This window comes from Homo sapiens, chromosome 8 (assembly GCF_000001405.40).
Source record: "Homo sapiens chromosome 8, GRCh38.p14 Primary Assembly".
NCBI classification, from domain to species: Eukaryota; Metazoa; Chordata; class Mammalia; order Primates; family Hominidae; genus Homo; species Homo sapiens.
This window is the reverse complement of record NC_000008.11, coordinates 88,836,171-88,851,611: the sequence shown is the minus strand read 5'-3', so window position 1 is coordinate 88,851,611 and position 15,441 is coordinate 88,836,171. Positions and strand designations below refer to the sequence as shown.

The following is a 15,441-nucleotide window of genomic DNA, read 5'->3' as shown; positions in this document are numbered from 1 at the left end:
CCAAACTTCTAAATGAAGACAAAAACTCTTCTAATATTAAACTTTGAAATAAATGTGAGTGATGCATACATGTAAGACAGATTAATAAAAACAAGTAAGGTAATTATTTACCTGCTGAGACGAGTTTGGGGTCACAGGTGGGTAGAGCCACTCCTGGCAGTTCAGAGCAATAGAAGAACGACCCTGGACAGGATGATATGCCATCAGAGGGTGCACTCAAACACACCCACACTCACACAGATGAGGTCCATGTGGGTACGCTAGTTCACCTCGTGTGCACAGCTTTGGGGTGTGGGAGGAAGCCAGGATACCTAGAGAAAACCCACATGTGAAAAACATGCAAACTTTATACAGATGGTGGCCCCTTCTTATGAGCAATTTTTTATTCATTATCAATATTATAATAAAAGGACATTCAATGAAACACTATTTGAGAGTCTGTATTTCACTTTTGTTTTCTCTGAAACCACTGATGTTAATCAACATTTAATGAGATCAATAGCCATTTGCATATCTCCTTTGGGAAACATCTAGTCAATCTTTTTTTTCTATTTATATAACATAGGGTTTCTTTTTGCATTATATTTTATAAGTGATTCCTATATATTCTGGATATAAGTCATTCACTAAGTATTTTGAAAATGATCTTTTGAAGAAGTTTTTTTTTTGTTTGCTTTGATGAGGTCCATAGCACCATTCTTTTTTCATTTGTGGTTTGTTCTTTTCATAAAAAAAATTATTGTATAAAACCTTTTTCACTAAACAAAGTTACCAATAATTTATGTTTTATTTTTCTATGAATAGATATTTTATATTTTATGCTCATATATTGTTCTATAAACCACTTCTATTTAATTTCTATTTAACTTTTGTATATTTTATGACAAAAAGATTCAGGATCAGCATATTCAATTGTTCCATAAACATTTTGAAAATATATTATCTCTATTAAATTAGTTTTGTTATTTTGTTGAAAATCAATTGACTATATATGCATGTGTCCATTTCTCAAGATTTCTGTTTCATTGATCTGCATTTCCATTCTTACATGAATACCATAATATGTTGATTACTATGGCATTATAATACATTTTAAATTACATGGTGTAAATCCCCCAAAATTTCTTTTCTTAAAGATTTTGGCAATTCTCGGTCTTTTTCATTTCCAGAATAAAAGAACTAAAATTTAGAGATATTAAATAGCTTCCCCAAATTGAGATTAACAGGTCCAGGAATTAAATGCTAGTTGTTGTAGTTCCTGAAATCATTAGTAACTACCTAAGTAACTAATAACCATCCAAGTCTATTAATGAATTGCTTAACTATTTAGTCACTGAAGACATAAACCTAAACTCATTTCCTTTTTAAATAAATCTATTTCATTTTTCAGCCAGAAATAAACTATGCTTGTTGATAAATTTATTTTAACATTATTTAATAAAATAACTTTTTAAAAATACTTTAAGCTCTGGGGTACATATGCAGAATGTGCAGGTTTTTTACATAGGTATACAAATGCCATGGTGGTTTGCTGCACCCATCAACCCGTCATCTACATTAGGTATTTTTCCTAATGCTATCCCTCCCCTAGCTCCCCACCCTGACAGGCCCCAGTGTGTGATGTTCCCCTCCCCGTGTCCATGTGTTCTCATTATTCAACTCCCACTCATGAGTGAGAATACGCAGTGTTTGGTTTTCCGTTCTTGTGTTAGTTTACTGAGAATGATGGTTTCCAGCGTCATCCATGTCCCTGCAAAGGACATGAACTCATGCTTCTTTTATGGCCGCACAGTATTCCATGGTGTATATGTGCCACATTTTCTTTATCTAGTCAATCTTTGATGGACATTTGGGTTGGTTCCAAATATTTGCTGTTGTGAAGAGTGCCACAATAAACATACCTGTGCATGTGTCTTTATAGTAGAATGACTTATAATCCTTTGGGTATATACCCAGTAATGGGATTGCTGGGTCAAATGGTATTTCTAATTCTAGATCCTTGAGGAATCCCCATACTGTCCTCCACACTGGTTGAACTAATTTAAACTTCCACCAATAGTGTAAAAGTGTTTCTATTTCTCCACATCCTCTCTAGCATCTGTTGTTTCCTGACTTTAAAATGATCGCCATTCTAACTGATGTGAGATGGTATCTCATTGTGGTTTTGATTTGCATTCCTCTAATGACCAGTGATGATGAGCTTTTTTTCATATGTTTGTTGGCTGCATGAATGTCTTCTTTTGAGAAGTGCCTGTTCATATCCTTTGCCCACTTTTTGATGGGGTTGTTTTTTTCTTGTAAATTTGTTTAAGTTCTTTGTAGATTCTTGTTATTGGCCCTTTGTCAGATGGATAGATTGCAAAAATTTTCTCCCATTCTGTAGGTTGCCTGTGTACTCTGATGATAGTTTCTTCTGCTGTGCAGAAGTTCTTCAGTTTAATCAGATCCCATTTGTCAATTTTGGCTTTTGTTACCATTGTTTTTGGTGTTTTTGTCATGAAGTCTTTGTCCATGCCTATGTCCTGAATGCTATTACCTAGGTTTTCTTCTAGGGTTTTTATGCTTTTAGATCTTACGTTTAAGTCTTTAATCCATTTTGAGTTAATTTTTGTATAAGGTGTAAGGAAGGGGTCCAGTTTCAGTTTTCTGCATATGGCTAGCCAGTTTTCCCAACACTATTTATTAAAGAGGGAATCATTTCCCCATTGCTTGTTTTGGTCAGGTTTGCAAAGATCAAATGATTGTGGATGTGTGGCATTATCTCTGAGGCCTATGTTCTGTTCCATTGGTCCATATATCTGTTTTGGTACTGGTACCATGCTGTTTTGGTTACTGTAGTTTTGTATATAGTTTGAAGTCAGTTAGCGTGTTGCCTCCAGCTTTGTTCTTTTTGCTTAGGATTGTCTTGGCTATACAGGCTCTTTTTTGGTTCCATATCAAATTTAAAGTAGTTTTTTCTCTGAAAGAAAGTCAATGGTAGCTTGATGGGGATACCATTGAATCTATAAATTAATTTGGGCAGTATGGTCACAATGTTGATTCTTCCTATCCATGAACATGGAATGTTTTCCCATTTATTTTCCTCTCTTATTTTCTTGAGCAGTGGTTTGTGGTTCTCTTTGAAGAGGCCCTTCTCGTCCCTTGTAAGTTGTATTCCTAGGTATTTTTTTCACTTTGTAGCAATTGCGAATGGGAGTTCACTCATGATTTGGCTCTGTGTTTGTTATTGGTGTATAGAAATGCTTGTGATTTTTGCACATTGATTTTGTATCCTGAGACTTTGCTGAAGTTGCTTATCAGCTTAGGAAGTTTTTGGGCTGAGATGATGGGGTTTTCCAAATATACAATCATGTCATCTGCAACAGAGACAATTTGACTTCCTCTTTTCCTATTTGAATACCCTTTATTTCTTTCTCTTGCGTGATTACCCTGGCCAGAACTTCCAATACTATGTTGAATAGGAGTGGTGAGAGAGGGCATCCTTGTCTTGTGGTGGTTTGCAAAGGGAATGCTTCCAGTTTTTGCCCATTCAGTATTGTATTGGCTGTGGCTTTGTCATAAATAGCTCTTATTATTTTGCAATGCTTTCCACTAATATCTAGTTTATTGAGAGTTTTTAGTAAGAAAGCATGTTGCATTTTGTCAAAGGCCTTTTCTGCATCTACTGAGACCAGATGGATTCACAGCCTAATTCTACCCAAGGTACAAAGAGGAGCTGGTACCATTCCTTCTGAAACTATTCCAAACAATAGAAAAAAAAGGGCTTCCTCCCTAACTCATTTTATGAGGCCAGCATTATCCTGATACCAAAACCTGGCAAAGACAGAGCAAAAAAAGAAAATTTCAGGCCAATATCCCTGCTTAACATCAATGCAAAAATCCTCAATTAAATACTGGCAAACCGAATCCAGCAGCACATCAAAGAGCTTATCCACCACGATCAAGTTGGCTTCATCCCTGGGATGCAAGGCTGGTTCAACATACGCAAAACAATAAACCTAATCCATCACATAAACAGAATCAATGACAAAATAACTTTTTTATTTCTCTAATTTTCTCTGAAAAAATGCTGCCTGTATTTGAAAAAAAAAATGTAAAGCCAGTTTATTTCATTTAAGCGAATGTAAAGAACAGCTCTGCTATGAATAGCCTATGATAGAATTAACTACTGTTTAAAAATTACCAAAAGAATCTTGATAAATTTCTTTATGATTCCTAGGAATGGTTAATAGAAGAAATGTATTTTAAAATTATCTTAGTTCACTTAATCAATTTTTCTCAATATATGTCTAAAAACTTTCATTACTTTTCTGCTCTAGGAAGGACCTCAGGAAACCTGCCCAGCAATCATAAATGCTGCTTTCATCCTGCAAGTGATCTTACTTTGCATGCCACTGAGCCACAGGTTCATGAGCAAGAGAGTAGAAGGTATGAAGCATAAACTTCTCAGCTGTAAAGGCAGGGTGGATAGAAAGCCAATATAGAAAACGCACACTTCCATACTTAATCCAATATTCCTTTTGAATACAAATGAGAGTGATACATATTATGCTAGTAATTAGATTAGAAAAACAATATTTCAGAGGGAAGTCTAAAGGAAACAACAACATGATATGCAAAAGAATTCTAATATATCCTTTCTGTGTTTTTTTTTCTTTCAGTCAGATTTATTTATAAGGCCTCTGCCAAACTAATTTAGCTCCTGCTATAGGTACCACTCAGAATTCATTTTCACAGATGCTCTTTTTAATCTTCACAATGCGGAGCTGAGTGGATGCTCTCAAAGGCCCCCTAGTTTCTTGTATGTCTTGTTTTGGAGATGCAGAGTCTTCCCAAAGTGAATATCTGTATTTAACTCAGGTCTACACAGTTTTACATCTCACAGGATTGTTTGGCTAATTTATATCTAACATTATTTCAGGACTGAATATACTGTATAATTGTATTAAGCACAATAGACAACTTCAAGTGAATACCAAGTGTACATCCAGGAAGCTTTTTAGTTTGCTCCATATTAAGTTTTCTTTTCATATTAATCTTGTTTTTCTATTTTTACTCTAATTTTAGATAAATATTATTCCTTTGAAAGTTTTGATGTTCTTCTTCCAAAATCTGGGTTAGTCTGAGAATAAGAACATTTAGGTGATGGAGTCATTAAACATCCTAACGTGTCAAAATTCATCAACCATATGTCTGTAAAGTCAGTCTACACTACGTAACTGTCCCTCTCAAGTAGTTAACATCCCGTATTAAAAAAAAATTAGCAACTATCTCTTAATTTTAAATCCATCTAATCTTTTCATGTGTCAGACACATAGCAATAACGATTACAGGAAAATATTGTGAGAATATTTCTCTAGATTATTTCTTGAGAAATGATCTCAATTTGACTTGTATAATGGCTTCACAGAAAAAGAATAGCCTTTGACAATGAAACATGGTCATTACATTAGTTGGTAATGTAAAGATAAACCAGATTCAAGTGAAGTTTTCTTAAAACCGGTATTACTTGGACAGTAAAACTCAGGGTATTGTCTCTTCATCTTGCAATTCACTTTTCATTTATGCACAAAGGCCAGATAAGCATTATTAAAAATGTGAGTGCAGCCAAAACTGCCATAGTTGGCCTTAGCTTATTTTTGGCAAAAAATTAAGAAAATTTTATATTAATACACAGTGCCAAAAAAGCTTTAGATTAAATAGATGTTAGATGATTTGTTTGAAGCTCTACAACTTTAGAAATATTTGCTATATGGGTGTGAATCATATAGCATAGAAAAAGGACTATATTGTATACATTTTTTCAATGCTTTGCTTTTAAATGAATAACAAATGCAAGAAATATGTTTACTGTTTTATTTAAGTTATTAAAAATAATTGGTAATTTTTTTAAACTGAAACAAATTATATGCTATTATTTTTTAATTTTTAAAATTTTTTAATTCTTTTGATTTTGCAGAGTCTCACTCTGTCACCAGGCTGGAGTGCAGTGTCATGATCTCCGCTCACTGCAACCTCCACCTCCCAGGTTCAAGTGATTCTCCTGCCTCAGCATCCCAAGTAGCTGGGACTACAGGCATGCGCCACCACAACCAGCTAATTTTTTTTGTATTTTTAGTAGAAACAGGTTTTCACCATGTTGGCCAGGATGGTCTCAGTCTCCTGACCTCATGATCTGCCTGCCTCGGCCTCCCAAAGTGCTGGGATTACATGTGTAAGCCACCGCACCCAGCCTTAATGTTTAAAGTCAAATTTGTTGAGTTGTAATTTAGTAACAAAATGCCTTTATTTTAATATAGAGTTTTATGAGTTTGGACAAATGTATTTGCCTATGTAGCCATCACATTCAAGATATAAATTGTTTTCATCATCCAGGTATATTACTAACACCCCTTTGCAGTCAACCCCAAATTCCCACCTTCTCCTGGGTAACTGCAGATCAGCTTTCTAGCAACATAGATTGGATTTGTCTGTTCTGGATCCTTTATGTGTCATTCATTGGGTATATTTTTGAAATTAATCCATGTTGTTTCATGTATATCACTAAATTTTAGATTTTTTACCAATACATTTTTTCAATTTAAGCTTTTTGGTTTCTTCACGATAAAACACTAAGTTTAGAAAAAAAAAAAACATAGATTTTCTTTTCTTAGTAATGCATTGCAGTTGGAGACACCTGGGTTCCAAAGTTGGCTCTGACATTTGTAAACCAAATGGACATTTGCAAGTCACTCAACCATTCCAACCCTCTACTTCCGGAAAAACTGAGAAACTACCTCTTTACTTGAAATGTTGCAATAAAAATTAATTGAGAATTTGTATAAGGCATCTAGCACAAGTACACAGCAGTAGGCACTCAATAAATACAACGTATTCTTAACAATTATTTCAATAAAACCCATAAAATTTCCCACAATTCTGTATTATTTTTGCCTCACTGCAACCAAAAATATGTGTAACTCCTTACCCAGAAGTTTTATAAACTATACTTTTGATTAACTGTTGCCTCTCACTATAAAATTACAAACCTTTTATGTGTATTCTTCTAAAATTGGGATCAAACCTGTCTGTAGCTACTGCTCTTGCAGTCTTGCCTTTAACAGTAGTCATATCCATTTATTATTCTTTCATGCACAGTATTTATCAAGAACTTAACATGTGTGGCTGCTCTTCTGAATACTCATTTCATTCAAATCTCTGCCATGTTTCTTTTTATTAGAAAGGATTTTATGGGCAACAAGTCTGATACAGTATTCTCCACCATCCTCTTTCGCATTTGCCTATTTTAGTCCCTTTGTTACTCTTATTCTTGTACACACACACGCGCATTGTTGGTGTCTCCAAATGAAGCATATGCTTCATGAGGATAAGAATTTTGTTTTGTTACCATGATATTCTCAGCATCTACAAAAATGCCAAGTGAAGGTAGAAGCTCAGTAAGTGCTTACTGATCAAACTAACAGCTCTGATGAAAGCAAACAACTCTCATCATGACTCAGAGCTTTGGTATAAGTGGTCTTACCCCTGGATCTCAGGACAGACTAGCAAACTTCTTTGTGACACAACTGCTCTCTCTTTTTGGGTTAGTCACAAAATTTGAATCACTGCTGCTTTTTTTTTTTTTTTTTTTTTTACGTCTGCTTTCTGAAACCCTTCAAACTAACCTTAAGTTGCTACTGGGTTTTTTCCTCTTTTATTACAGAGTAGGTCCAAGTGAGGTAGGAGACCAGCAGCACTTGTTTTCTGGTCACAACTCTGCTGACCAAAGCAGGATCTGGTCCAGACAGGATAAAGTGACAAAACTGACAGGAACCAGCAGATGGCTACAAAAGCAATTCCTGGCTGCCCTCATTGCTCATTAGCATCAGACACTCCCACCAGCACCAGGACAGTTTATAAACGTCATGACAATGACCCGGAAGTTGCCACAGCTTTTCTAGAAAGTTATAAATAACCCACCCCTCAATTTGCATTGGAAGTTATAAATAACCCACCACTTAATTTGCATGTAATTAAAGTGGGTTTACATGAGAATAAATACTGTTGCCAGGAGCCCATAAGTTGCTGACTTTGGATGCACTGCCTACTGAGTTAGATCTGCTCCACAAGGAGTAGTACCATTCAACAAAGGATTGATGTCTAACATCACCAGCTTTTCCTTGAATTATTTCCTGGGTGAAGCCAAGAACTCTAAGAGCTAAGCCCCAATTTCAGGGCTTGCCTGTCCTGCATCACAAGGGCTAGTGTCCAGATGGCCCCACTACTAGTGAGGCCACTAATTGTAGCTTTTTAAAAATTTGCATGCTATTTATGTTACATAATTTTCTACTTTCCAAATAATTATCTTAAAGCAAGCTTAGTTTAAAAAAAAAAGACCCAATTAAATGTAACCAGTATTTCTAATTTTTGATAAAAATCACTAGGACTTAACTTGTTGAACCTGAAATAGAAAGACATGGACAAAATCACTTTTAAGTTCTTCCTCCTCTTCAAAACAGCCTAAATCTTCTAAAAATATTAACAGCTACATTTATTTAAAAATTCCATTTTATAATAGTTTTTATAATTTTTTTATTCTTTAAAGTATTTCAAAGGAAATTTATTTTTTTTCAGGTAGAAGCAAAGTGATACTAATAAATTTGAGTATACTAAAATATCATGGTCAACAACTTTCTACAGGTAGTATTATTCCACAAAATTTCAACATATATATGTCAAAGTTATTACTCTAATATTTTTCTATTATTGTTTTGCCCAATTATAGTGAATTTTATTCTGATCTTGTCTAGACTGAAGCTGGCACCATATTCAATTAAGGTAAATTCTATTTCATTTCCAAAAAATTACCATATTTATTGTACAAAAAAAAAATTAACAGGCTTTGAAAACAAGTTTCTGTTCTTCTTTTCAGAGAAGGAAATGGCACTCATGTTTTCTGAATTCCAAGTTTGTATGATGTTCTTTTTCATTTCTCTTGTACTTGAAATTTAGTGACTTCTGGTCCAGGAGATAAAGGATTTTTATCTCTGTATTCTCAGAGTTTGAAAGGAAAAAGAAAAAAGAAAAACTAAAATGCTTCTTTTCTTGTACTGAACTTAAAAAACAGTTTTACTCTAGATTTTAGCATTTGTCAGCAGGCTTAGATGAAAGAGAACAAATAATTCTGCTTTTCCTTTATGAATTTGTTAAAATTTTTAGAGGATCCAAATACGTGAAATATATCTTCATGACAAATGTTACTGATGACAAACAGTAATTCAGATTTGTCTTCTCTAAGCCCAGATATTTTTAAGCTATGCATCCTTTTATTTTCAAATTGATTATAAAATCCTTAGTCTCATCTCTTACAATCCCTGGTCTAAATTTTAAATGTGGGGGATCATTTTGTCTGTGATAAGTACCATCATTAAGGTTAATAGAGGTGCTGGAGGAACATCTGAGTCATAAAGGTAAGGACATTTTGGGGATACTTCACAGAGAGATGATTGTGCAAGTGGTATATGAATGCTCAACTGGAATGTTTTCCAGTCTAAATAGATAAATAGAAGTAGAGGAAGATTCTCTAGGTAGAGGGAACATCTTGTACTAACACAAGGGCATAAGCTTTTCTGGGAATGATAAGAATCCCTGCACAGCTCTCAGACAGAATTTATGAAGGACGTTTAAGGATGCAACTAGAAAGATAGATTAAGGTCACACTGGGAAATTCCAATAAATAATATTAAATCAGCTGCAGAATTTGAACATTTTCTTCTATAGTAAGTAGCCTTAGGTAGCTTTGAAATCCAATTTGTATTTTAGAAAAATCACTCAACGGAAGTGTGAAGACCTGAATTAAGCAGTATGTAATTACCTATTAACACATAACAATTATCCCAAACAGTCCACAACACAATTTGGCCTTTAGCCTCCAATAATACACATCCTTTCCATATGCAAAATATACTCAGTGTCTCTTAAAGCCTCCAAAAGTCTCATCCCATTGCAGCATCAGCCCAAAGCCCAAAATCTCATTATTTAAATCAAGCCCAAGTGCAGGGAAGACAACTGATGTGTAGTTCCTTAAGTACAGCTCTTTGAGTACAGTTCCTTGTGGCCTGTGAAATAAAGAGATAATTTATCTGTCTTCTGATTACCCAACACTTTATGATAAGACAAGCATAACATATTCACTATAGATATTCTTGTTCAAAAAGGAGAAAGTGAATTTCACTAAGGTGTCATTGATCCATAACAATTCTAAAATCCAGCTTGTATGATTTTTTTCTATTTTTTTTTTTTTTTTTTTACAAAAGACAGCCTGTCTTTGCAGCTGAATAGTTTTATCAGCCACCATCCTGTCAGTAGAGTTTTGGGGACCAAAGGCTCTTGGATATTTTTTTCTTTCTTGCCTTTTTCTGTCCAAGCCGGTGATGATCTGCATATATAACTGCATTAGTCCATTTTCTGTTGCTTATAACAGAATACCTAACACTGGATAATTTATTTTTTAAATTATTTTTTCCAGTTATGGAGGCTGAAAAGTCCCAGATCAAGAGGCTCCATCTGCTGTGAGCCTTCTTGCTGGCAGGACTCTCTGCAGAGCCCCAAGGTGGTTCAGAGTATCACAGGACAAAGGTGCTGACTGTGCCAACTCAGGTCTCTCTTCCTCTTCTTAGAAAGCTACCAGTCCCACTCCTGTGATATTCCATTAATCCAATAACCTATTAATCTACTAATGGATTGATCAATTTATGAACATAGAGCCTTCATGACCCAATCACCTCTGAAAGACCCCACCTCTCAATATTGCCACTTTGGGGATTAATTTCAGCATGAGTGTTAGAAGGGATAAATATTAAAACCATAGCAATCACTCTTTTAAAAACTTCGTGGGTGTCCTATGAATGTTATTTGGATTTAATCAACTATATAAAAGCCACAGCCACAAAAGTTTTCAAGATAAGCCTGCTTGTTTGTTGGGATCCTGCTAAAATGTCTAAAGAACAATGCTGTTAAGGTTCCTAGAAGCTTTATAGTTTGATTGAGAGACACTTGGAGGCATATTTTATCTGCCCAAGTAGCATTCCACTGTTTATTTGAGACTAAATTTTGTCTTTTCAAAACATCAGGCCAGGCGCGGTGGCTTGGCCAGGCGTGGTGGCTCACGCCTATAATCCCAGCACTTTGGGAGGCCAAGGTGGGTGGATCACCTGAGGTCAGGAGTTCAAGACCAGCTTGACCAATATGGTGAAAACCTATCTGTACTAAAAATACAAAAGTTAGCCTGGCGTGGTGGTGTGCACCTGTAGTCCCAGCTACTTGGGAAGCTGAGACAGGAGAATTGCTTGAACCTGGGAGGTGGAGGTTGCAGTGAACCAAGATCTCGCCACTGAACTCCAGCCTGGGCAAGAGAGAGCAAGACTCCATCTCAAAAAAAAAAAAAAGATTTCACAGTCACACCTTTAACTTCGTCTTTGGTCCATATTTTCCTGGCAGTCTGCTAGATTGGATATTTGCTCAGAAGTAATTTCTTAATTTTTACATCATTTGCCACCTGCAGATTTTTTTTCAAATCATCAAGTCCTGGCTTACTTCTTTTTTATATACTTTCATTAGTTTATCTCTCACTTCTCACATTTTACTATTAGCACCACAAAGCTGATGGCACTTTTAAAACTCTGGTTGAAAATCCCCTTAGCTGTATCACATGGTTAATTAGACATATTTTCTGCTTTTCACAGAACTGCACTAAGAGGATTGCTAAACTTTCTGCTACTACACAATACAGTTCCTCCTTCTTTCAGTTTGAGTAACTTTTACCTCACTTTCCTGTAAGCCCTTACTAAAGACCTTATTAAAGCTCATGCACAGCTTTATAAAAGCCTTGGGGGCTACTGATATGGTTTGGCTGTGTCCTCACCCAAATCTCATACTGAATTGTGTAACTCTCACAATTCCCTCATCTTATGGGAGGGACTTTGTGGGAGGTAACTGAATCATGAGGGCAGGTCTTTCCCATGCTATTCTCCTGATAGGAAATAAGTCTCACAAGATTGGATGGTTTTATAAAGGGGAGTTTCCCTGCACAAATTCTCTTCTCTTGTCTGCCACCATGTGAGAGGTGTTTTCACCTTCTGCCATGATTGTGAGGCCTCCCTAGCCACATGGAACTGTGAGTCCACTAAACCTCTTTCTTTGGTAGATTGCCCAGTCTCAGGTATGTCTTTATCAGCAGTGTGAAAACAGATTAATACAGCTACCTTAAGGCATTTTAGGCTTTCACTAGTACTTTCCTCAGAGCCTGCTTCCTGCTTCCAAAACCATCCCTACATTTTAGATATTTACTGTGACATCACCCCACTTCCAGGTGCTAAAATCTATATGTACGTATCTGATGTTATGGGCTGAATCATGTCCCTGCAAAAGTTATTACATTGAAGTTCTATCCACCAGTTCAGAATGTGACTGTCTTTGGAGACAGGACCTTTAAAGTGATAATTAAGGTAAAATGAGGTCATACTGGTGGGCCTTAACCCAATATGATTCATGACCTGATAAGGAAAGGAAATTAAATAATAGGCACATAAAGACAGAGGACAGACCCTGTAAAGACAGAAGGAAAATACAGCCATCTATAAGCTAAGAAAAGAGGCCTCAAAAGAAATTAACCCTGCTGATACTTTTAGATATGAAAAAAGATGCAATCTCTTCATGCTGCTATAAAGACACATGCACACATATGTTTATTGTGGCACTATTCACAATAGCAAAGACTTGGAACCAGCCCAAATGTCCAACAGTGATAGACTGGATTAAGAAAGTGTGGCACATATACACCATGGAATAGTATGCAGCCATAAAAAATGATGAGTTCATGTCCTTTGTAGGGACATAGATGAAGCTGGAAACCATCATTCTCAGCAAACTATCGCAAGGACAAAAAACCAAACATCGCATGTTCTCACTCATAGGTGGGAATTGAACAATGAGAACACTTGGACACAGGAAGGGGAACATCACACACTGGGGCCTGTTGTGGGGTGGGGGGAGGGGGGAGGGATAGCATTAGGAGATATACCTAATGTAAATGATGAGTTAATGGGTGCAGCACACCAACATGGCACATATATACATATGTAACAAACCTGCACGTTGTGCACATATACCCTAGAACTTAAAGTATAATAAAAAATATATGTATATGTTTAAAAAAAGAAGACTATGGGGAAAATAGAATCTTTATAGGAGAAGTTGACAGCAATTAAAGTCAATATTTCAAAGAAACAGTTACATACTTGAGGAGAATGTTTAAAATGAAACAAAATGTAAGCACGATGCCAAGTATTCTGAGATAAGTCAGGAATGGTAGGACAAAATGAGGCAGACAGTACAAAGAAATATGGAAGTGAAGGTTTTGTGTTTTAGTTGTTGGCTGTAAAAACACAGGAATGTAAAGCCTGGTGCAACCTGTACTGCCACCATCCTAATTGAAACTATCATTGCCAGCTCTCTGATGGCCCACTACTTCTATTCCATTCTACCTTCAACTTATTCTTCATTTTGACTTTTCTATTTCCCCAAAACATAGACATACACAGAAGCACGCGTGCACACACACACACACACATACTCACACACAAACTTTTTGCTTAATCTTCGCTGTTCTTAAGAAAAAAAAAAAGGCCCAAATCTTTTACAGAGTTAATGATTTGGTCCACGCCTTCCTTTGCAGGCCCCCTTTTTATTTTTTTAATATTGCTACAACATCTCTTAGTGATTCTTTAAATCTCTGTTCAATCAACAGTTCCTCAGATAATGTTTGCTGATAAGAGGAGACTATACTATATTCTCATTCTTCTCAGAGAACCATTTTTTGTACTTCAGAGTTATTTATCTCAGTTTGTAACTGCATATTCATTAGTGTAACTTTAATTAATATTTGTCTCTTCTACAAAAAACAAGGTATCTGAAAGGATAAAATTTGTCTTGTTCTACCTACCACTGAACACTCAGCAATTGACACAGTGCCTCACCAAAATAAGAGCAAGAATATTTGTTTAATTAATGATTACATAGATCCAAAGAATTCCAGGTTCTGAATAAAATTGTAGTATAATATTCCTTCCTTATTTTCTTATTAGTTTAGGCAGTGATATGGTTTGGCCATGTCCCCAGCCAAATTTCATCTTGAACTGTAGCTCTCATAATTCCCATGTGTTGTGAGAGGGACTCGGTGGGAGATAATTGAATCATGGGAGCGGATTCCCCCTTGCTGTTCTCATGGTAGTGAATAAGTCTCATGAGATCTGATGGTTTTATAAGGAGAAACCCCTTTCACTTGGTTCTCACTTCTCTCTTGTCTGCCGCCATGTAAGATGGCCTTTTGCCTTCTGCCATGATTGTGAGGTCTCCCCAGCCACGTGGAACTGTGAGTCCATTAAAACTCTTTTTCTTTATAAATTACCCAGTCTCAGGTATGTCTTTATCAGCAGCATGAAAACGGACTAATATAGGCAGAGCAATGGCTCTCTGCAGCTTGGCCAGCACTATTTTTTTCACATGTTAAAAATTTTTGGATGAAGTTGTTTTAGTAACTCTACAAAGGTCACTCCAGGTTGCCCAGTGTCTTCATGAAAGTAATCAGTGTTCCATCTCCGAGGTACTGTTCTCAACAAAGCTTGGCTCCTGGACTGATCTGACATATTTAACTTCCTTCCAGCCAAGGATTGCCACTTTGAATTCCTGAACCCTTGGTAGTATATCAACTCTTGAATACATTCCATATTAATCAATTATAATTAAAATATCATTATACATTTAACCACTATATTAACATTTTTAGTGTCTCATTGTCCTCTGATATTTTCTTTTTTAATCCACCCTAAATGTTATAGAAAGAGTTGTCTAACATGCGAATGTATTTATGTAACTTTTCCCATTAAAAATCTTTGACAGTTAATAATTTTATACAGAAAAGGGCATGAATTAATTATCATGGTATTGAAGATACTTCAAAAGCTAACCTTAATTCACATTTCCAGCTTCTGTTCCACTGCTCTCTACTTTACCATATATCCTAGAGTATCAACAACTCCAAGTTCATGAAAAGATATGTGCAAAGCCTAAGGCATTCCCATACATTTTAACAGCTGGTTTGTTTGAGATATTTCACATGCCATAAAATGTATGTTATTAAAATATGCAATTAGTGGGTTAGTATAGTCACAAACTGGTATAACCCTCACCACTATCTAATTCAGAGAAAATGTATTACCTCATAAAAAAACCCCGTGTCCAGATCACATTCCCCCTTGCCTCTAGGCCCTGGAAACCACTAATATACTTTCTGTCTTTATGGATTTGTCTATCCTGGACATTTCATATAAATTGATTTATACATTATGTGGTCTTTTGTTTCTGTCTTCTTTCACTTAGCATAATGTTTTCAAGGTTTATCTA

The 15,441-nt window shown here is 35.8% G+C and overlaps 1 long non-coding RNA gene across 1 annotated transcript in view; it reads right to left on the bottom strand.

Annotated features, from left to right (window-relative positions):
• The window catches only part of LOC105375630 (uncharacterized), a 559,756-nt gene that overhangs the window by 35,988 nt on the left and 508,327 nt on the right, over window positions 1–15,441 (bottom strand). The window contains exon 5 of the long non-coding RNA XR_001745653.3: window positions 112–311. This is a non-coding gene — a long non-coding RNA (uncharacterized LOC105375630). The remainder of the gene's footprint in view (window positions 1–111; window positions 312–15,441) is intronic.